Source organism: Homo sapiens, chromosome 12 (genome assembly GCF_000001405.40).
Source record: "Homo sapiens chromosome 12, GRCh38.p14 Primary Assembly".
In the NCBI taxonomy this organism is placed as follows: Eukaryota; Metazoa; Chordata; class Mammalia; order Primates; family Hominidae; genus Homo; species Homo sapiens.
In genome coordinates, this window is record NC_000012.12 from 2,147,985 (window position 1) to 2,169,083 (window position 21,099).

The 21,099-nt window shown below is 45.1% G+C and overlaps 1 protein-coding gene and 1 long non-coding RNA gene across 56 annotated transcripts in view, besides 1 other annotated feature; both read left to right on the top strand.

Moving 5' to 3' along the window:
- Positions 1 to 20,580, top strand: part of LOC107984131 (uncharacterized) — a 36,596-nt gene extending 16,016 nt beyond the window's left edge. The window contains exon 2 of the long non-coding RNA XR_001749435.2: positions 850 to 20,580. This is a non-coding gene — a long non-coding RNA (uncharacterized LOC107984131). The remainder of the gene's footprint in view (positions 1 to 849) is intronic.
- The window catches only part of CACNA1C (calcium voltage-gated channel subunit alpha1 C), a 727,171-nt gene that overhangs the window by 177,205 nt on the left and 528,867 nt on the right, over positions 1 to 21,099 (top strand). The gene's annotated exons all lie outside the window — the stretch shown is intronic.
- Positions 4,267 to 4,486: a silencer, noted in NCBI's record as "silent region_4128". NCBI's record gives its function as "represses an Ori minimal core promoter by ATAC-STARR-seq in GM12878 lymphoblastoid cells {active_cell/tissue: GM12878}" and the evidence as "EXISTENCE:reporter gene assay evidence [ECO:0000049][PMID:35858748]".

A 21,099-nucleotide genomic window follows, 5' to 3' on the forward strand; every position in this document is an offset into this window, starting at 1 on the left:
TCTAGGCTTCTAAAAATTGTATGTTTACATGCATATATACACATACATGCACACTTATATAAAACCTGTCAAATTTTTCAAAAATTTTTGAAAGGATTAGCATTATAAAGTCATAAGGAATCTCTGAAGGGACTTTAGAGTAGAGAAAGATGTGAGAAAAAGCCTAAATATATCACTCTGCAGCAAACCAATCATCCACACAACCACAGAAATCTCTGATAAATCTCTTATGAACTAAACTCCCTGTTGCCCGATGGTTCTTTTTGGAAACTTTGTCTCTGTCTTTCGTATTGAAATATCGCACTGAAAAGACCTGCCATGGAGATGTTGATCCCACTTATGGGCAAGAGGGCGTCTGAACTTGTCTTCCAGCCATGGCTCAAAGATTGCAGATGGAAATCCCTGCTGCTCACATTTGTATATTTGATCAAACTCTTTTCATGGCCAGACCAGGCTCCAGGGGTTCTGGGTCACATCTTCCCTCTAGCTGCCATTTACTTTGATCATACTAGTAATGATTACCATCTACAGCATGTATTATGTGCCAGGAACTTTGAATTTGTCATCTTTTTGGTTTTCTTGGGACAGGGTCTCACTCTGTCTCCCAGGCTGGAGGGCAGTGGCATGATCTCGGCTCACTGCAACCTCTGCCTCCTGGGCTCAAGCGATCTTCCCACCTCAGCCTCCTGAGTATCTGGGACTACAAGGCATGTGACACTACACCCGGCGAGTTTTTGTAATTTTTTGTAGAAACAGGGTCTTGCTGTCCTAAGCTGGTCTCAAACTCCCGGGCTCAAGCTGTCCTCCTGCCTCGACCTCCAAAGTACCCTCCCTCCCTGCGGTCTGGAGGAGTTGCCTTGGGACCTGTGCTTCCTTGGCTCTATGCACTACCAGACGCAGTCCAGTGGGCAGCCTGGCGGGTGGCCCTGGGACTCATTGCTTTGCAGCCTGTCTGGACCATCCCTAACAGTTTATTTTTTTGACTTTTCCAGTGGAGAGTCCACAGAGAATATGACTTTTCCTTGGGTCATCTGTAAAGACTTGGCAAGGGATGTCTTGCATCTGGGAAGATGTGGTCTTGGGGGTCACCTAAGCAGCAGAGGAAACCTTGCAAGATGACATTTGGGGCTAATGTGGAATTAACTAATAGACTGATGAGTTTGCTTGATCTGAGAACTCACAAAGGATGTTGAGGAAGAAAGGGCAGCTATGACCTATCTTGGGGTTTTGCATTTTGTTCTTGTGACCCTGTGGAAATGCTCAGATGAGTGCACATGTTCAGACTCATGCCAGGCCAGTGTGAAGAATCAAGCTGAGTATGCATCCTTCCGAGGCTCAAAGCCAAGAGAAAGAAAGAGAGGCCTGGTGAAATATCATAGGAAATGTCACGGTCTTTTCTGGACTCTCTTAAAAAGCCCAAGACCCATTTAATATTTCGATTGCAAGACATATCTCTACTGGATGGTGTTTTGGAAAGCTGGAGTTTAGGAAAATCCTGGCTGTAGGAATGCTCTACTGCTGTGAACATTCCCGCTTTAGGAATGCTCATAGCAGTAGAGAGTGGGCTACTGACTTTTCTGGTTTTCAACAGTATCTTATTTTTCCTGAACATTTATTAACTGTCTGCCCTATCAGAGAACTTCTCAGATTGGGACTTCCCTTGAGTAAGAGACAATGACCTGAAATGCAGGGCGAGAGAAATTTCTTTCAGTTTTAGGCGGAAGGTGGGACCCAAATTTAAGAGAGCCAACCCCAAGTAAGGAAGATCAGCTCTCACTGGGAGCTGTGTAGGACCCAGGGGGGAGCACACCCCAGGAAAGGGCTGCCGGTGGATCCGGAGGCCTGACCTGGGGCCCAGGCTGAAGTAGAACATCAGCACCTCTAGTAGCCCAGCAATTTGGATAGCAGGCAGAGTTTAAAGGACCAAACTGGAATTATGAGTCAAGACTGGGCAGGAAGCAGGAAGCAAGGATGAGGAGCCAGGTTATGATAACTAGTGATGCATGGGGTGTCCAGGCCCAGAGGCACTAAAAGGGGGTCAAGGACCCAGCATGGAGACTGGGTAACAGAGAGCCATGCTGTGCTCATGGAATCTGGGCAGCAAGAGTAGCAGCTCCCAGAGGGGCTGGCTGGCAACCTTTTGTATCAGCTTAGGAACTTTTCATGTTGGTCAGGAGCAGAGACGCAGTTCCAGTTTTGGCTGGCCTGGAGCTTGCAGGATAAGCCCGTGTCTGGCTGCACTGTAAAAATAACACGGAGAATAGGATGGGTCTTGTCCTTGGTCTCTAGAGCAGCCACTACATGGAAGAAAGAGGTAGAAGGCAGGTGTCTATCAAGTGACATCACAGAACTCAAGAGGAGTGAATGTCACCTCCATTCCCCAGTCTCCCAACATTCCCTGGGGAACAGGGCAGAGGGAAGACAGAGTAGGGGAATTCCAGGATAAGCTTCATGCACCCAGAATGTGGAATGCTCACCAAAGAAGAACAAGAGCCGTGTTCACATCATGATATTCCGCCCTCTTAATTCCCAAACAGGGCTCCCAGGCTACAGAGCAGCTTTGATAACAGCAGTGCACTCCCTCTCCTCTAGAAAGTTAGGTGGCTTTAAAATAGGTAAGGCTAATTTCATTCCTTCTGTGAGTTCTGATGAAAGGGGCATTTGGCGAAAAACACGTGTGGGTTGGCATGCAATGAATACTTATTTACATGGGTGTTTTGAAGACAATGACACAGAATCAAAATTTAACCCACAAGTTTAGGTTTTCAGTTTCCTTCTGCTTCTCTCCTTTGAGAGGTAGAGATGGAGAAACTGTCTCTACCGCTCTTATTTTCTCACTCTGATAACAATCTTTTCCATTAGTAGAGTGCTATATAAGGTACAGTGCACTTGGGAAATGCCTCTTGGGAAGGTGACATGTAAAAATGGTGGTCAACGCCACTTCTGGGCAGGTGCCAAGGCCTGTAGCAGCCTGTGTCTTTGGGTCCTGCATGCTTTCCTTTGTGTTGGCTGGTTCCTCTGGCTGAGTTCACTGTTGGTCTGTCTGTGGCAATTACGGAGAAGCATGACAGTCACAGCTTCCCTGAGTTCTACTGAACTCATGAACTTTGTTCATAACAGACTCTACAAGTGGTACAGGATTCCTATGGCCACAACTCAACTCAACTCCGTAGAAATCAATGTTTATGGATCATTGGAGCTAAAAGAAAACTTGCAGATCAGATCATCTCATCCAATTCCCTGACTTTACAGAATGAGGAAACTGAGGCACAGTAAGATTTTTTTTTTTATTTTTTGCCCAGGTCTGAATAAAATTGAAGGCACCCTTACCATAGCCAGGATTCTTTGTATATACCACTGGCTGACCAGTGGTAGCTGAAAAAAAAAAAAAAAGGGATTTGAGATGGTAGGAGGGGTGTCTGACTGAGGAGCCATTTTTATAGGTTTTTATAGACATTTGCATTGGTTTGGAGTAGCAGAACCAGAAATAGTCTTTCCCTTTTCAGGAGCAACTCTGCACAGAAGACTCACTGGCTTTGGACTCTGTCCCTATCACATACATTTCAGTAGCCAGGCCAAGGCATCTGGCTGGGAGGCTGGGTACGTCTCAGAGAATAAGCGCTTGTCATAGAATGGGTCGTGAAGCTGGGCAGAGAGCCAGGTTTGCAGAAATGGCTTTGTATTGATGAAGAAGGGAGATTTTTACCTTGTCTTGGCCTCCATCATGAAGAGAGTGTTACAAAAAAGTACAGATGACAGCAGGCCACTCTCGGAGACACACACGAAGCTTGTCTTCCTCCATCCCAAATACATAGGTCAGTGGACCCTCAGGAATCCATTCTGATGCACGGGTGGATGAGCCAAGGGCTGGGCAGAGGCCATTTCAATAGCTTAATGCTTGCCAGGTATATCTGAGCTAGTGCTGCCCCAGGGACAGAGTATCCTCTGGGAGATCTGAACCAAGCGAGGGTGTGGCAGCCGGTGGATGACTTACAGTCAGCCTATCTGGGCAGATTTTAAACCCTGGCGTTTTTAGTGCCTTGACTAGTGTGAGAAACTTGAAACTCAGTCTCATTGCTATTTGTGGTAATGGTCATTTAGTTTCAGGAAAACATCGATGGTGCCCTTCCCTAGATAGCTGCGTTGCAATGGACCACATTATGGCATGCACATTAATGTAGGGATTGTTCATACAAAAGAGGGCAAAGATGCCACTTGTGACAGAAATGACTGTTACCCAGTGTCTGTTCTCTACCTCTTTCATAGGGATAGAATTTTCAGCTGGGCACATGACTGCTTAGAATGAAGAACTACAGTTCTCATCCTCCCTTGTGGCTAAGTGAGGTTTTGTGACTAAGTTCTAGATAGTAGGATGTCAGCAGAGGTGATGCGTGTGACTTCCGGTGTGTGCCCTTGAAGGCAAAGTCATGCCTGCCCTTTCCCTTTCTCCCTCTGCAGGCGTGTTGCCGTCATGGTGAGGAGCCATTTCATATCATGCAGACTAAAAGACCCTTTCCAGGTGCTGGAGCAACCATTCAGAAGGCGGTGATGGCTGGGGGAGGGCTTCCATGGGAGAGAGGAAGTAAATGTCTCTCATGGGGAATCCCTGTTGTTTTGGTCTCTGTCAACCATGGTTCAATTCATAACTTAAGTTATACCCTACTTATTGGGAACTTTGATTTTGGAAGGCAAAGAAATTTAAAAATTAAGAAATAAAAATAAAACAACAGATAGCACTTGGATAAGTTGGCCAAGTTCAAGTAACACAAAAAAGTCAGGACATGGAACCAGGAGGTGGAAGTGCCTTGTTTCTCCTCCTCCTCTTTCCGTTTCCCATGTCACCCACAGGACTGGTGTGCCCGGTAGGAAAGATTGGTAGGTCCCACTGGTCCCGAGTGTCCTACGGCCCTTTATATTGGATAATATTGGAACTGGATTCTCCTAGAGATTGGGAATGGTGGCAGAAAAATTAAAATTGGGAGGTGAAAGCTCAAGGAGGTAGTTACAAAGCAAAGGAAAACAAACAGTTTTGGGCATCCAGCTGCCTTTCAGTGGTGGTCACTATGGCAGAGATCAGCAGAGTGAAGGGCTAGGAGATAGACTCATTTCGGATCTAACTTTAATAATCAATTTTAATGACCCTTGAGCGAATGGAGCAGTTGATTTTCCTCTCAATCCTCTCTCTGTGTCTGTTGTTCCTGCAAAGCCTATTGGGACTTGCCTGAGGAATTGGCCCTTATCCTTGAGGTTAATGAAAGACAACACTCAAGAAGCTTCCCACTTACAGAACTCTTTCTCCAATTTAGAATGGAGGCTACTTTTTTTTTTACTGTGGTAAAATATACATAATATAACATTCACATTTTAACCATTTTAAAGTGGCATTGAGTACATTCATACTGTTGTGCAACCATCACAACCATCCATCTCCAGGACTGTTTTCTTCCTGCAAAACTGAAACGCTCTACCTATTAAACAATCAGTTCCCATTCCCCCTTCCCCCAGCCCCTGGCACCCACCATTCTACTTTCTGTCTATGAATTTGACCACTCTGGGAACCTCATATAAGTGGAATCTCAGAGTATTTGTCCTTTTGTGACTGGAGCTAGTTTTGGCTAAGTCATGGGAGAGGCAAGTGGATCCCTTGCTGGTAGGAAGGACAGGGCCGTGTTGACAGGGACCATGAGGCCTCCGCCCTGCAGTTTTCCTTTGTCCTCTGCGTGGGGTGGGGCAGCCCTCTTGGGGAAAAGGCTCTCCTCATTTCATCTTTACTTTTCCTTCCTGGGAGATGGAGCAAATGGTGCCTGCCTTGTCTATTTGGAGCACACAGGCATAGATCATTAATAAGATAATTGGAAGGTACTTGGCAAAATCTGAAATATTAACTGTCTCAGAGAAGCTGAATAATCACAGGGTCTCACCAAGTGCCACCTCAACAAGTGCAGCTTTCACCCGTCCTTGGACATTTATTTCCCTTTGTCTGCACTCTGTTCCCTTTCTCCCAAAATGCTGGGTAGAGGTTCTTTAAAATTCAAGAAAAAAATCAGACTTCCCCTTCTCCCCAGTGACATTCCCGGCCTCTTCTCTCACTCGAGTGATTTCCTGTATGAAATTCAACAACAGGTCCACCCAGAGGAGTTCTTTTTCCTCCAGCTTCTCTGTTTAAAAATCTTGGGTTCTTCCTGACAAAAGGAGGCTTAGTCATCTTCCCCCAGTGACAGGCCCTACTTAAAAACAAACAACGAAGAAATCCTACATCCCACTCCAGCTTGTGCTGCAGAGCCTGGCCGGGGAGGGACAGGGGATGGTACACTTGGAAAGGCAATCAAAGAGTGGGCGGTCAGAAAACAAAACCTGCCAGGTTATCAAAAGGACACCACCTCCAATGCACAGAGCTGCTTCCTTCCCGCACACACGGAATCTTCCTGCTCCCTGCCCCACTCATCGTGGTCGTGGCCAGCTGTGTCCAGCAGCCTGGCGCCCACTTAACAAACAGGAGCAATGAGGGAGACTCCTCACCCGGGGCCAGCAGTGGGTCAGGGAAGAGGCTGGGGTTAGGGCTCAGGGGTCTCAACCTGGAGTCCTGTGTTTGCAGCTACAACTCCAAGGCCTTGGGATTTGCCTAGTGGGGAATCCTGGGCTCCAGGGAAGAAGTCACTGAAGGTTTACCAGGCAGACTTATAAATGGGGAGAAACTGAAGCCTAGAACGCCCCCCTCTCTGATGACTGCTGCCTACGCTGCCTCCTTCCTTCTCTCAGCTCCAAAGGCACAGAATGTCTGATCGGAGAGTTTAGCTGCTTTCTACTGTTTTCTCACAGTTTCGTTTATCAGCCTTGTCTTGCCAATGATACAGAAGCTCCCCGCAGGACAGTGGGTAGGTGGGAGCTTCCCGATGATCATGTTGGTGTTGACAAAGCTCCCCAAAGTGGGGTATTCCCTCAGGCTGGTCTCCGGAGCCGGCTCTGTGCTCTGAAAGCGGCCCATCCTGCCGTCCTAGAGTATAGGTGCCGTCTATCTCTGTGTGTTGAGTTATCGGGAGATGAAAGATTTTTTTCACTTGGTGAATCCTGGCATTGTGGGAAGACTCTCCTAACACAGACATAATTCTCTTGCAATCCCACAGGCGCACACATACACAGAGGCGTCACACACACACAGAGGCACACCCCTGGTGTGTCATGGGCGTTGTTTTGCGTGGAGAACGTGGAGCGTGAAGACACATTTTCTATGACAGTGGTTCCCTTGGTGTGGGATTGATGGACCTGTGGACAACAGGAGTTTTGTTAGTGCTCTTCAGGGTCCCGGAGATCATGTACTAGAACACCTTTCCTCCACAGAGGAAGAGACTGCAACCCAGAGAGCTTTGTCACTTAGACACACAATTTTACTTTGCTTGGGCTTCAGTTTCCCTATATGAAAAGAAAAAAAAAATAGAATTGCCCCAAAGGATCTTAAGGACTTTTTCAGAATTCCGTACATAATGAGTTTTTATTGTCATTTTCTCACCATTCTTTGGCCTTTGTGGAACTGACTAGAATAGCTCAATTGTTTGTTAAGGAATTTCTGACCTCAATCAGTTTTCCTTATATAAGGAGTTACCAGTTTTAGAGCCTCATGTCACTTGGGGCTGTGTCTCACTTAAAAGTGCTGTGAGAGCATATTGGATTGCTGAAAGGAGAAACTGACCACCTCTTAGAAGACATCACCAATTCAAATGAGGGTGTCTCCTTTCCTAGCGAAAACGGGCACTTAGACTAGTTTAGAGCCACCGGAGGTGGGAGGATGAGCCAGATGTCCCTGGAAAGCCAGTTTAGGGGTGCTTTTCTCATGTTTTCCAGGGTTTAATTATGCTCCGTGCTTGAGAGAAATATTTTTGAACCTGAGGATTTTTTATCTTAACGTTGAACAAATTATTTATCTTTCTTTTTCTGTCCCCTCCATAGTTCCCCAATGACTCTAATTTTTATTATTGTTATAAAGCATTTTTCCTTAAAGAGTAAAGACGCAAATAAAAAAAATCTGCAGCTTAGACACAAGAACAAGAGTGAATCTGACAGACCTAAGGTTGAGTGAAAGAAACATGGCAAAGGGGTGTGTTCAGCAGGACTCCATTCCTGTTAAGCTAAAAATGGGCCAAATGAAGCTATCTTTTAAGGTACACATACATACGTGGCAAAAGCATAAAGAAAGGTCAAGAAATGATGATCGCAAAGTCAAGGTAATGTTGTGTTTCTGGATTGATGGTAGTTACATGAAAGTATGCTTTATTATTCATTAAACTATAAAAATATGTCATATGTACCTTTTAAATAAAAATAGAATAAAGTGACATGGAAATCAGAAAAAAGCTAGTAGCGTAAAAATTGCAGATTCATATGGTGGGTTGAATGCTCTCTTCCAAAACCACACTAACATGATGGTAAAGGAATCGTTAAAAAATGCATAAACCACAAAGACAAAATGAATCCAAAGAAGACATCACCCACCGGTGTTTATTTGTTCATTTTTTTGTATTTGAAATACTCTTTGATGACATATTTGGCTTTGATTCTTTGGCGCTGGCCTTAACAACCATACAGCTGCAACCAGTTGCTTACAGGGCTTTGCTTTTCTGCTGATTTTGCAGAGGCCTTCTCCATTCCTTTAGTTTGACCAACCTCAGTTAAGCTGATGTGGGTGTCAACAAACAGTTCCTCAACCAGGTTTTTCTACATAGACTCATGAGGGTCAGATGCAAGTACCCGTGAATTCCACAAGCTAAGCCATCGGGGATGAGGGTGGTCTTCAGCACCCTTTTGAAGCAGTGTTAATGTCCATTTCTCCCCCAGCAGCAATGCCTTTCTTGGCCATGGTGGAGGCTTAAGGTTGGAGCTGAATGTTGAACTCACTGGAGATGTTCTGCCTTCATGCAGCCCAGTGGCAGCTGGGAAAGCTGGAAAGTAGATGGACAAGTAGTAACAGACTTTGCATGTACTGTATGAGACAGCTGAATCCTAAGCGGCAGTGGGGAAAATTGAGACACAATTAAACTTGCAGCTCACAACCTCCAAAAGGCTTGGAAATTGTGGTATCAGGTATTTTTGGAAGTGACGGTTAAAATGGGGCTAAGAACTGGAGAATTGGTTCAACGTTTGTATTCTTAGAAAATGCTAAGAGTAGATGGCACAGTGTTCTCACCACAAAAATAATAACTATGTGAGGTGGTGCATATGTTAATTAGCTAGATTGAGTAATTCCACAATGTAAACATGCTTCAAAACATGTTGTACACAGTAAATATATATAATTTTATCTGTCCATTGAAAAAAATTAATTAGACCTCAGACCCCTACTCCTATTCTCAGCAACTAATACTCTTCCCATTTCAGCTGAGGACTGGAGGATAAAGCGGAATGTTCTCTAATGGGGATAAAGCAAGAGGTCTGCATGGGGGCACCACTGGCACAATGGAGGGCAGCACGCCCGGGGCGAATACAGGGCTGAGACTTCTGGAGTATCTCCCACTTGCTCTCAGAGTGCTGTCCCATAAGCCTGTACTCTCTAGGCAGAAGATCTGCGTGGCTTTCCCTGGCAGAGTGGACCAGCCTAAAGAGGACAGCCCTAAGGGGGCCCTAAGATCTAGCCAACAGGGCGTTCCAGCTGTGGGGCCTTAGAGCAAAGCCTAGTGCATCATAAGCCACACCTGTGCTCACAATGTCCCATCAGTTTTTGGTGGTTCTCTCTTAAATAAGGTCCATCAGTTAAGGATCCCTAAATGTCCCTAAATATCTTAGGAAGGCCTTGAAAATAGAAACCAAAGCTAACAAGCAAAGGATGCCTATTTAAATCAGAATATACACGAGGAAAACTTAAAAAAAACACATTATTTTCTGTCTTTAGAGGGATAAGATATTATATCCTTGATACAGAAGCTGATTGCTATGTAAAGGGAAAAATTAAAACATTGATAATTAAGAAATGTGATGACTGAGTGCTATGAATGGTTAGAAAACAAAATTGAAGAATATCCAAGAAAGTAGGGCAAAAAATCAGAGATGGAAATTAGGAGTAAAAAAAATATGACCATTAGACAGTCCAGGAAGTCCAGTATCTGAATACTAGGAGTTCCAGAAAGAGATAACTACAAAAACAGAGGGGAGGAAATCACCAATGAGACAGTTCTAGTACATTTGCTAGAACAGAAGGATATTAGTATCCAGATTGAAATGGCTCATTAAGTGCCCTTACAAATAGATGAAACAGGCCTATCCCAAGGGTACATCTTTGTGACATCTCAGAAAAGTAGGGACAATTGGATCTTACAAGTTTCTAGGCTGGGCACAGTGGCTCACGCCTGTAATCCCAGTACCAGAGGCAGAGGCGGGTGGATCGCTTGAGCTCAGGAGTTCGAGACCAGCCTGGGCAACATGGCGAAACCATGTCTTTACCAAAGATACAAAAAATTAGCGAGGCTTGGTGGTACGTGCCTGTAGTCCCAGCTACTCAGGAGGTTGAGATGGGAGGATTGCTTGAGCCTGGGCGATGGAGCAAGACTCTGTCTCAAAGAAAAAAAAAGTTTCTAGAAAGAAGAAATGTATTACAAAAGGTCAGGAATCAGCCTGATTTACCCGCAGCCATGTGGGAAGCTAGAAGGCGAAGGAGAATTGCCCTCAAAGTTCTGAAGAAAAATGATTTCCAGTTGACAATTTTATATCTGATCAAACTATCACTCAAGCAAGAAGGTAAAAGAGAAACATTTTCAGATAGGTAAAAATATAAAACAAAAAGAAAAAAATAAAACTTAGCCCGATGCACCTTCTCTCAGGAAGCTATTGGAGTTCTTCACCATGAGGAGGGAGTAAACCAAGGGAAACATAGGATCCCGGAAATGGGGGCCAACACAGAAGATGGAGTATGTGAGAGGGGGCCCTTCATAGTCGTGATAAAGTGGATGCAGGACATTGATCTAAACTAAATCATGACAAAACTATTGCAGAGGATAGGGAAGAGGTGAAAGAGGGCTAAACCCTTACCTTCTATGATGAGGAAAAAACCTTAAAAATCACCAAGGGGCTACATAAGCATATTATTAAAAATATGGAATGGAATACCAAAAGAAACAGCTAAGGAATTGAAAGCTTATTGTTGTTGAGGGGCAGGTTGGGGAGGGGGGTAAGAAGAGAACTGTGGATTTTTTTTCTTCAATGAACCTTTTAGAACAAATTGACTCTTTAAATTATGTGTATAGGCCGGGCATGGTGGCTCATGCCTGTAATCCCAGCAGTTTGGGAGGCCAAGGTTGGGAGGATTACTTGAGCCCAGGAGTTTGAGACCAGCCTGGACAACATGGCGAGACCCCGTCTCTACAGAAAATACAAAAATTAGCTGGGTGTGGTAACGTGTGCCTGTGGTCCCAGCTACTCAGGAGGCTGAGGTGGGAGGATTGCTTGAGTCTGGGAGGTTGAGGCTGCAGTGAGTGCAGTGAGCTGTGATTGTACCAGCCTTGGGGACAGAGTGAGACCCTGTCAATAAATAAATAAATAAATAAATTAAATGTATGCATAAGAGATAAAGATTAAAACTAGAAAAATGAATAGCTGATTATTGGTGTTTATCTCCTTTAGATTTCTTTCTTTCTCTTTTTTTTTTTTTTTTTGAGATGGGAGTTTCGCTCTCATTGCCCAGGCTGGAGTGCAACGGCATAATCTCGGCTCACTGCAACCTTCACCTCCCGGGTTCAAGCAATTCTCCTGCCTCAACCTCCCAAGTAGCTGAGATTACAGGCATGTGCCATTACGCCTGGCTAATCTTTTGTATTTAGTAGAGACGGGGTTTCACCATGTTGGCCAGGCTGGTAGCGAACTCCTGACCTCAGGTGATCTGCCCGCCTCGGCCTCCCAAAGTGCTGGGATTATAGGCGTGAGCCACCGCTCCTGGCCTAGACTTATTTCATGTAAGTAAAACAAGAGTCCTGTGTTGTCCATTCATTTATTCCACAGATTTTGTTTTGAGTATCTGTTATGTGCTGGGCATTGAGGCAATTTCTTTTCTCCTTATTTCCCCTTGTTTTCATTGCTCCTGTTCTGGACCGTCCTGCTGGGATCCTATTTAATTTGCTAGTTACCACCTGCCCTATACGCCTCTGGATTTCTGCTGGGTGTGGCTGTGGCCCTAGTGCGATGTCAGGGAGGTCTTACTTAATGCTTCTCTCATGCTCTCCAGTGGTGAGTTGTCAGAAGTGGTACGTTTTGCTTTTTCTTCTGAGATGGGAGAAGCGTGCTGTATCCACAGATTCCTAGCTGGCACAGTTGACTGTTTATTTGCTTAGCACATGGCCTGACACATAGCAGACACTCAGTGGCTGAATAAACATGGTAACTGTGACATGTACTCACTTTCTCTCTCCTGTCTCTGATCCTCAAAGAGGACCAAATATCTGCCACCCTGCATCCTCAGACGGCTCGTAACTTTGGCAAAAAGGGGCCACCACAGAGGGCCTGCTGCAGCCTTCCCAGTTCCCTGTTGTTTCCACTTTTGCTACCTGAAATCTAATGATTTGAGATCCAGTAGTTTGCGTCTTGAAGAATATTTGGAAATTAAGGAAAATACAGGTGTCCCTAAGAGGAAAAATACTATGACCCATCATCACAGTAATTTCCAACCTGGAGCTCCCACATGCTGGGATCTCATAACAGGCATAATGGTGGCCAGAGAGCACTTCTTAATATTTCAAAACACCTAATGGAAACTGCCCATTTATTTAAGATAAGGCTGCAAAGAGTAACTAAAATGGCAAGTTTCTTTGCTTTCCAGTGAAAGAGTATCGATTTGGTATGGTAGCTCTGGTTATTTTTTATTTTATTATTATTATTTTTGAGACGGAGTCTTGGTCTGTCACCCAGGCGGGAGTGCAGTGGCTTGATCTTGGCTCACTGCAACCTCCGCCTCCCAGGTTCAAGCGATTCTCCTGCCTCAGCCTCCTGAGTAGCTGGGACTACAGGCGTGCGCCACCACACTTGACTAATTTTTATATTTTCAGTGCAGACAGGGTTTCACCATGTTAGCCAGACTGGTCTCGAACTTCTGGCCTCGTGATCCACCCTCCTCGGCCTCCCAAAGTGTTGGGATAACAGGCGTGAGCCACCGCACCCGGCTAGCTCTGGTTATCCTTTGCTGAACAGATGCTTGAGTTGATAGCTGTCTATCTGTGATAAACACAAGAATGGAAGGAGAGAATAATGATCAATAACAGCTTATGTGATTGACAAGACCTTGCCAAAGGCAGTGTGGATGTGGTGGGATGGGAAGGGGGTCTCTGGGAGGGGAGAGACGGGGGCACTGCATGCTACTTAGTTATTCCTGGGGTTTGTTGGCAGCTGCACTGAGGACAGAGGGCTCCAGACAGGGGCAGAGCAGGGGCACAGAGAGTGGTGTGAGGCTCTAAACGCCAGCTTGGTCGGCCCACTTTGTCATTTTGCTGAGGGCTGGTGGAGGTGCCGGTGTGGCTGTGCCAGGGGCCCCGCCTGTCACCTCTCCCTGCAATCCAGACCCCATCACAGAGCCCATGGCAGCGGAGATAAATGCTTCGGCAAGGCAAACGAATCTAGAGGGAATGGGAGCCTCAAGCCGTGAAAAATGATGGGGACTGTGGCCTACTTTCTTGCTTTGTAAGAGTCACTTGCACTTTTCTGGGGCACAGCCAAACTGACGGTGCTGTAGAACAGGATGTGCGAGAATGCTGTTTGGCAAACAAAGAGCGCTCTCTGGCCCCCAGAGGTTCTGGCTTTTGAGCCCAGACTAAAGAAAGCCAGGCTGGAGACCGTATATCAAACTTTGCAAGCCCGTTTATATACCTTGCTGGTGCCTCAGGGGGCAGAAATGCTGGTTGGGGATCTTTGTGTTTTGTTTTGAAAGAGTGATGTTTGGAAGCAGAAGCACTCAAAAATATATCCTGACCTCTGGCACTTAGAACCTCCACCAGAGCTTGGCACTTAACTGTTCTGTTTCTCGTGATATGTTCTAATTATCTGTTTCCAGCCAGATTGTAAGGTCAACAATGGTAGTTTATTTACGAGTAAGTCTTAGTTTTCTCATCTGTAGGAATGGGGATAAAAATGCAGGTTTGCTATGAGTGTTAGGGGTTCAGGGTTTAGTTTTGGGCCTAACTGCTCCTGTCTACCTGTCTACCCTTCCAGGGCCTCTCAGGACACACCTTACTCCCAAAGCACAATATCCAAATGGCAAAGAGGTTGTCCCTTTCTTAATGAGCTCCACAAGCACCTGACCACCACCCCCTCCCATTCGAGGCCTCCCTGTCCCCTCCCGCTGAACCTAAACCGCTCTGAGGAGCAGCTCTCCAGCCATCAGTCCTGCTTGGATGAGGATGCTGATTTTGTGTCTAGGGAAACAAGTCTGCCCCGTTTGCCTTCCACATGGAGGCTGAGGGTACAAGAGAAAGTTGGGGGAAATAGCAAGCAAAGTTCAGAGGGCAGTGGTCCATTTTTTCTTATCAGCCACAAAACAAAAAATAAATAAAAGAAGGAGGAGGCCGTGTCTTTGAGGCACAGTAAGCCTGCCCACTGAATGTCCCTGAGAGTAACTAGTTATAATAGCTACTCCTTCTACAGGGAGACCTAGAGACGGGGCAGAGAGAGGAAAGGACGTGCCCCCGTGAATAGCAGAGGGGTGAACAGTAGGCCTGGGGGAGAAATTGCCTTCCTGACAAGAAGAGTTGGAGATGATGAATACAAAACCCCTGGGACACTGCCTGGCCCATAGTGATGTTACCATCAGTAGTGGCTTTGCCGTTTCCAGATTGACATCCATGCCCTAAACAGAGAACTTTGCTGAGATGAAATTTCCTTGTTGGTATACTTTTGTGAACCACTCCATTGAGAACCAGCACAAAGCCATTGCCTTCTTGAACGTCTTCATTAAAACTAGAATAATCTCTGCCCCTCATTTGCCCATGCACATGGAAAACCCACGGATATGCCTTCCCTGATGGAAAATATGACCACTGACTGGAGTTCGAGACCAGCCTGACCAATATGGAGAAACCCCATCTCTACTAAAAATACAAAATTAGCCAGGCGTGGTGGTGCATGCTTGTAATTCCAGCTACTTGGGAGGCTGAGGCAGGAGAATCACTTGAACCCAGGAGGCAGGGGCTACCGTGAGCCGAGCCGAGATCACGCCATTGCACTCTAGTCTGGGCAACAAGAGTGAAATTCCATCTCAAAAAAAAAAAAAAAAAAGTGACCACTGAAATGTGTATAATGCTTTAAAATTGACAGTGCATTTTCTCATCCATCATTTGAGCCTCACAACAGCCTTGTGACGTAGGCAGTATTCGTATTCTCACTTCAAAGATAAGGAAGCGGATGCTGGAATGGCTTGGGCACCAGGCCAGGTTCATACAGTAAGTAAATGGCCAAGGCAGGGTGTAATCTTTGGACTCCACACCCAGCGCTCCTTTTTTTTTTCTGTCATCTGTGATGCTTCTTCCACCCTGCTATTGATAGCCTAGGAACAAGATGTGTGACTTTTCTTACCACCCCCTGGTGGGTACATCCTGGGTACACTTTTCTGTTTTCTAGTGGGGGTAAGGAAAATGGCTTTCAGTGGTGAAGGTTCACAGAAAGAATGGGATCCAGAAGCGTCTTCCAGCATGGTCCAGGTGCCAGAAGACTTTGGCAGGCGAGTTGACCATGGCTGAGTCAGGCCCTCCTCCCCCGCTCCCTGGATTTTGGATCGATTTTGCAGCGGCTCTGGCGGCTGCATGTGTTTCCCTTGGCCTCTGAGGCATTCCAGTGATGATGATGGCTCGGCGGGGTCACGGCCCTGTACAAAGCAAGGGCTATTTGTGGCTGATCTAAAACATAACTGGAGCCACCTGCATCCGAGGCTGGCTTCTCGGGCTCTGGGTCCCATAACCCAGCTGGAGTAAAAAGTTCACGTTCCCGTGTGGAGTAGATACCAAAAGTGACGTCTCTTTCTTTCTTTAGGTTTGGCTGCGTAATTGGAAAACCAAGCTGCCCGCCACCTTGCCGTGGCTTCTTCTATCCCTAGGGCCTGGAGTGGGCTTCCTCCCTCCCCTCCTCTATCTAAACCCTCCTTGCTGCAAGACCCTGCTCCTTTCACGGAGTCTCCATTCCCAGAATGTATGTGACCTCATTGTTTGTCATCCATGTTGGGGCTTTTAAGAATATCCCCTTGCACCATTTTATGACTGCTTCATGGACAATAATCCTGACTGTGTTCTTTGGGGCCAGACACTGGGTCTGCTTTCCTTCCTCTCTCACAGTGCCTGGCTGTGCTGGGTACACATGAAGGCTGACGGTTCACTGAATGAGGCATTGTGGAGGGCGTAGAAAACATGGAGACCTGGGAACCCAGAGACCAGGTTTTGTTGCCAGGGCAAATCCCTTTGCCTCTCTGGGTTGCTCAGTCCATATCTGTAAAATGAGAGTTGAACTGGATGATCTTTAAGGTCCATTTCAAATTCAAAGTTCTGGAACTAATTGTAGACTAAGCCGAAGAGATGCTCATTGCCTTTACCTGTCTCTCTCTGCTCCCCATATTGCAGCCTGGTAAGCTGTTGTGGCTTATCACCCGCACCTCTGATTTGCCTGAATGTAACTTAAAAACTTGTCTTCATAATATCAGGAAGGTCACAAAAGAGAATGAGGGAGTGTTGAGTAGTGTTTAGAAGCAGAGACTGGGGAATCAGACAAACTTGGGTTTCAGTCTTAGCCCTACCACTTAATAGTTGTGTGGCCTTGAGCAAGTCACCTTGTTAAGTACCACTTTCTTTTCAGAAACATGGAGTTAATGCCAGTCTCACAAGGCAATGGAGGAATATGTGAGATAATACAGGTATGGCGCACACACAGTGTCAGAGCTCACTCAATGGTGGCAGTCATCGTCATTGAAGTGGGGAGGGGAAAGAAGCAGAGGGGTGTGTTTTCTAGTCCTTTGGTGAGCATTTTCTGACTTGTAAACTATTGGTTGCATTTTAAGACAGTGCCTTTATCATTTTCATAAGCAGTGTAATGATTTGAGGAAAACCATTTTAGTTCTAATAAGAACACTAGCAGTACTAATTGTGCACATGATAGCATTTTAATAGAGTTCCATAATTTATGGAATTGGGAAGACTTACAAAAACATGGGTTGACTCTCTAGAGTCTTAGGTTTCTGGTGAGTGATTCAAACAGGCTGCTCTTGCTTCCTGCCAGTGCAAATAAATCAATTGTAAACCTGCACTTTTAAACAAAATTGTGAAAAAGGAAACAAATCCAGTGATAAGAAACTATTTTAACAAGACACTTCATTCTTGAGGTGATTTGCTAAGGAGAGATTTTCCAGATTGTCCCTGAACTACCAAAAGCAACAGACACACTGTGGTACTTGCTTCTCTTTTTCTAGCTGCTCTGGGTTTAAGTAACTGAAGCCTTCTCAAGTATTAAATTTGGAGGGTGGCTCAGTGATCTAAGCAATGAAGACCCAAGAAAGACTTTGGGTCTGAATCAAAGTTTTCCAACTGCCTTGCTTTGAGTGCTTGGAAAGTCACTTCCTAACCTTGGATACCTCAATCTTACCAACTAAAAGAGTGGTAGATGGCGGGATGAACATCGCCCAGCTTTAGACAGTGAAACCTGGATGAACTTAACCTGGCTTAAGATGATCCCTTTCTGTTTAAGTGGAAAATGCATGGTGAGTGAACATTACCTTTCAAGCAACTTCTGGACAGAGTCCATATGTGTGTGTGTGTGTATGTGTGTGTATTAGCCTGAAGTTCAAGTACTTGCAAAGGTTTCTAGCACACAGTGTGCAGTAGGTGAGCTAGACTTAGTTAGACTTAGGACTTCCAGATCTCCCATGTCTTGACAATTGTGTTTAACTGAGTTTTAACATTGACTCTCAGAGTCAGAAAGAATTCCAGAAGATAAAGGAAAACCAGAAAGCCAAACTTTAATAAATACTCAGAGAGCAAAAAGAAATAATGGAAATGGCATACGTGCAGAGGGCACGTAGTTAGTGAAGAAATAGCTTTTGATGAAACAGGACAGGGTGAAACTTCAAAGACTTGTCTTTTATCCATTAATCCCATTAGTGCTCCAGCGATTTCTCAAAGATTGATTATCTCTGGGGAAATGTGTTACATCAGCCCTCAGCTTTCCAGTCCCATTAGACCCAGCAAACATTCTGTGCTGCTGGGATGATGGGCTTCTGTGCCATGTTTACCCATATTCCTCCAGCTTGGCCCCCTCCTCACCAGCTCCAGTCAGGAACAGAGAGAGGCCTCTACCATCAGTAGTCATTCTTTGGGATTATCACTCACACCCCTTTGGAAGGGAAGAGAAACATAAAGATAATGGGCAAGCAGCATGTGCTCAGGTTAACTTTACATTGGCTGATCAATTCTTCATATAGCCTTGGGCGTTTATTAGGACTTTCATGGTGGATAGACACACTGTCCCCATTCAAAGTGCCTCTAAATTAGAAGTGAGATACCTAAGGAGTGTCAGCAATGAGGAACAATGGGCTTCTCTTGAAGTCTTGCTCTCTGTCTAGTATGGTGGGCAAAGGAATTTATCGGTTACTAATTTTATAAATAACCTTCTCACAGTCTCTGTTTTGTCATATGTAAAATGGCAGCAATGTAATGTATCCCTCATAGCGTTGTTAGGAGGACTAAATGGGTTAGTATTTGTTAAATGCTTGGCATTGTGCCTGCCTCACACCATACAGGCACTCAATAAAAGTTAGCTGAAATTATGTTAACTAGTCTAAGCAGAGGATTAGTAGGCACGTTGGAACTGATGCTAAGAAGGAATAAGACTCACCTTGGGAAAAGTGGGGATCAGGGAGAAGACTAGGCAGCAGGCTTCTGAGTGTGGGAGTGTGCAGGATGTGAGCACATCTCTGCAGTGCCTGCGCCCTCCTTGCCACAGAAATAACCTACACCAGACGTAGTAACAGAAAAAGAACCCAAGCATTTTCAAGACAATGTGAGCAAGGTAGAAAAGGGCGACCCATGAGTCAACAATACTCAAGCTTTTATCAGTCTCAGTTTCTTCATTCTTTGTTTCATTCATTCAACCCACGTTTATCATCAAACCTGTGCTGTTGATTGATGTTATAGATAAAAATGAACCACTCCCTACTCTCAAGAAAGCAGAAGAAGGAAGCAGGTAAGTAACTAGACAATTATATAACAAGTTCCTGAGTGATCAGGAGGAATGAAGTGCCCTGGGAAGGCTTCTGGGAGGAGTTGATTCCTAAGATTAGATGAGTGAGAGTTATCTAGTGAGGGGAAAGGCATGGATGACAGAGCATTGTGTGTGACAAATCCTTGTCTGCTAATTCTCACATTTAACTCATCTCAGAGTCAGTCTCCATTGATTGCCTATTAAGTATGGGCCATATTTTTATGTCTAGTAATTTTGGATTATATTCTAGACATTGTTGATGGTCTAGTGTAGAGACTATGGATTCTATTATGTTTCTCTGGAGAGTGTTGACTTTTTATTTTAGCAGGCATTTAATTTGACTGAACTCAAACACCAAACTATCTCCTCCATGGGGGGCAGAAGCTGAAATCTCTGATCAGTTCTATTAATTTTAGATGGGTTGCTTGGAATCTGCCCCATGCATGTATAGCTCAGGAGTCAGCCACAGATTTGGATGGAGTTTATATGCAGAATTTGGAGCATCCCTTCTGAGGCTTTCTCCTTTTGGGGATTTCTGCTTCCATTTTCCAGCTGCCCCAACCATTTGCTCCTTCCATTTTCCAGCTGCCCTTCTGATCCTGCAGATTTCTATCTAGTTTCTAATCACTCTATATACTACAGATTGGGTTCTGCTCTCAAGCAAAAAACTGTGAAACCCAGAAACTCATCCAATGCTCCCTTCTCCCAGGTTCTGCCTGCTTTGAGTTGCTCTCTAGTGCATGCAAATAGGTATTTTTAATTTTTTGCTAAGTAATAGTTATGTTCAGATGATAGGTCCAATATACACTACTCTGAGATATTGGAAGCAAAACTCCCACAATGGATATTTCAAGAACTGCAAGTAGGTCAGTTTGTGTGTGGGGGGGAGTGTTTGTGTACATGTGTGCATGCGTGTGTTACAGGGGCATGGAAATATGCACAGCTTAAAGAAAGGCAGAGGTCAGATCATCAAAAGCCTTCTGGGTTATATTAAGGAATTTGAACTAGATCCTGAAGGCTGTGATGGAGAGCTTTAATCTTAAGAGTAAAATGATCACAACTGTTCTTAGAAACATTGCTGGGCATCTGTATGAAGGATGAATCAAAAGAGGTAGAAAGATAGGGGATTGATGGGGAAACAGAATTCAGTTTTTGTCCTCTGGAAGATGAGGGGTTGAACTAGATGATCATTAATGTCTCTTATGGCTCTAGTATTCCGATCTTCCCATTAATGACTTTACTTGGTCCTACTGTAGCCAGGAGTTCCCACAAGGCTGTTTTTTGCAGAGCACTATACACAGCCCTTGAAGCCCAGGCTTTAAAAAATGCCATTTAGTGATATTTTATGGCTTGTGAATAGATTAAGGTAATGGAGGCACAAAACAACACAAATGAATGCACCACGGGTGGGTAACAGCCTTTGAATTTCTCCAGCTCTCCCTTCAGACCTCCTGTATCACAACAGGTATTTGGTCATTTTATGTGATCTTAAATGGCCTACTATTAACCTGACTTTGATTTTTTTTCAGTCCTCAGAGAGGTGGAGGTGGGCCTAGCAAGAACCCAATGCTAGGGATTCATTGCAAAGTGTACCCAAATTGGGAAGGGTGAGAAGCTATTCTATGATGGTCTTATGAGAACCTCAGGAGATGCTGGTGGTGGTGTGATGGGCATGTTGGTTTCATCCTTTCCTGTTTCTGAACCAATAGGAAAATGAGGCTTCCTGAGCCTCAGGATGCCCTACCCTTTCTAAGGCTTCCTGGAGAGCAAAGAGTTCCTGCTCTGCCCTGGTGTGAGTCAGAGACTGTGATGACACACTGAACAGCAACACCTGTCCTTGCTGGGGAGGGGATCCAAAGTCCAGCCGCTCGCCTTCAGCATGACACATTTTTCTGTGCTTTG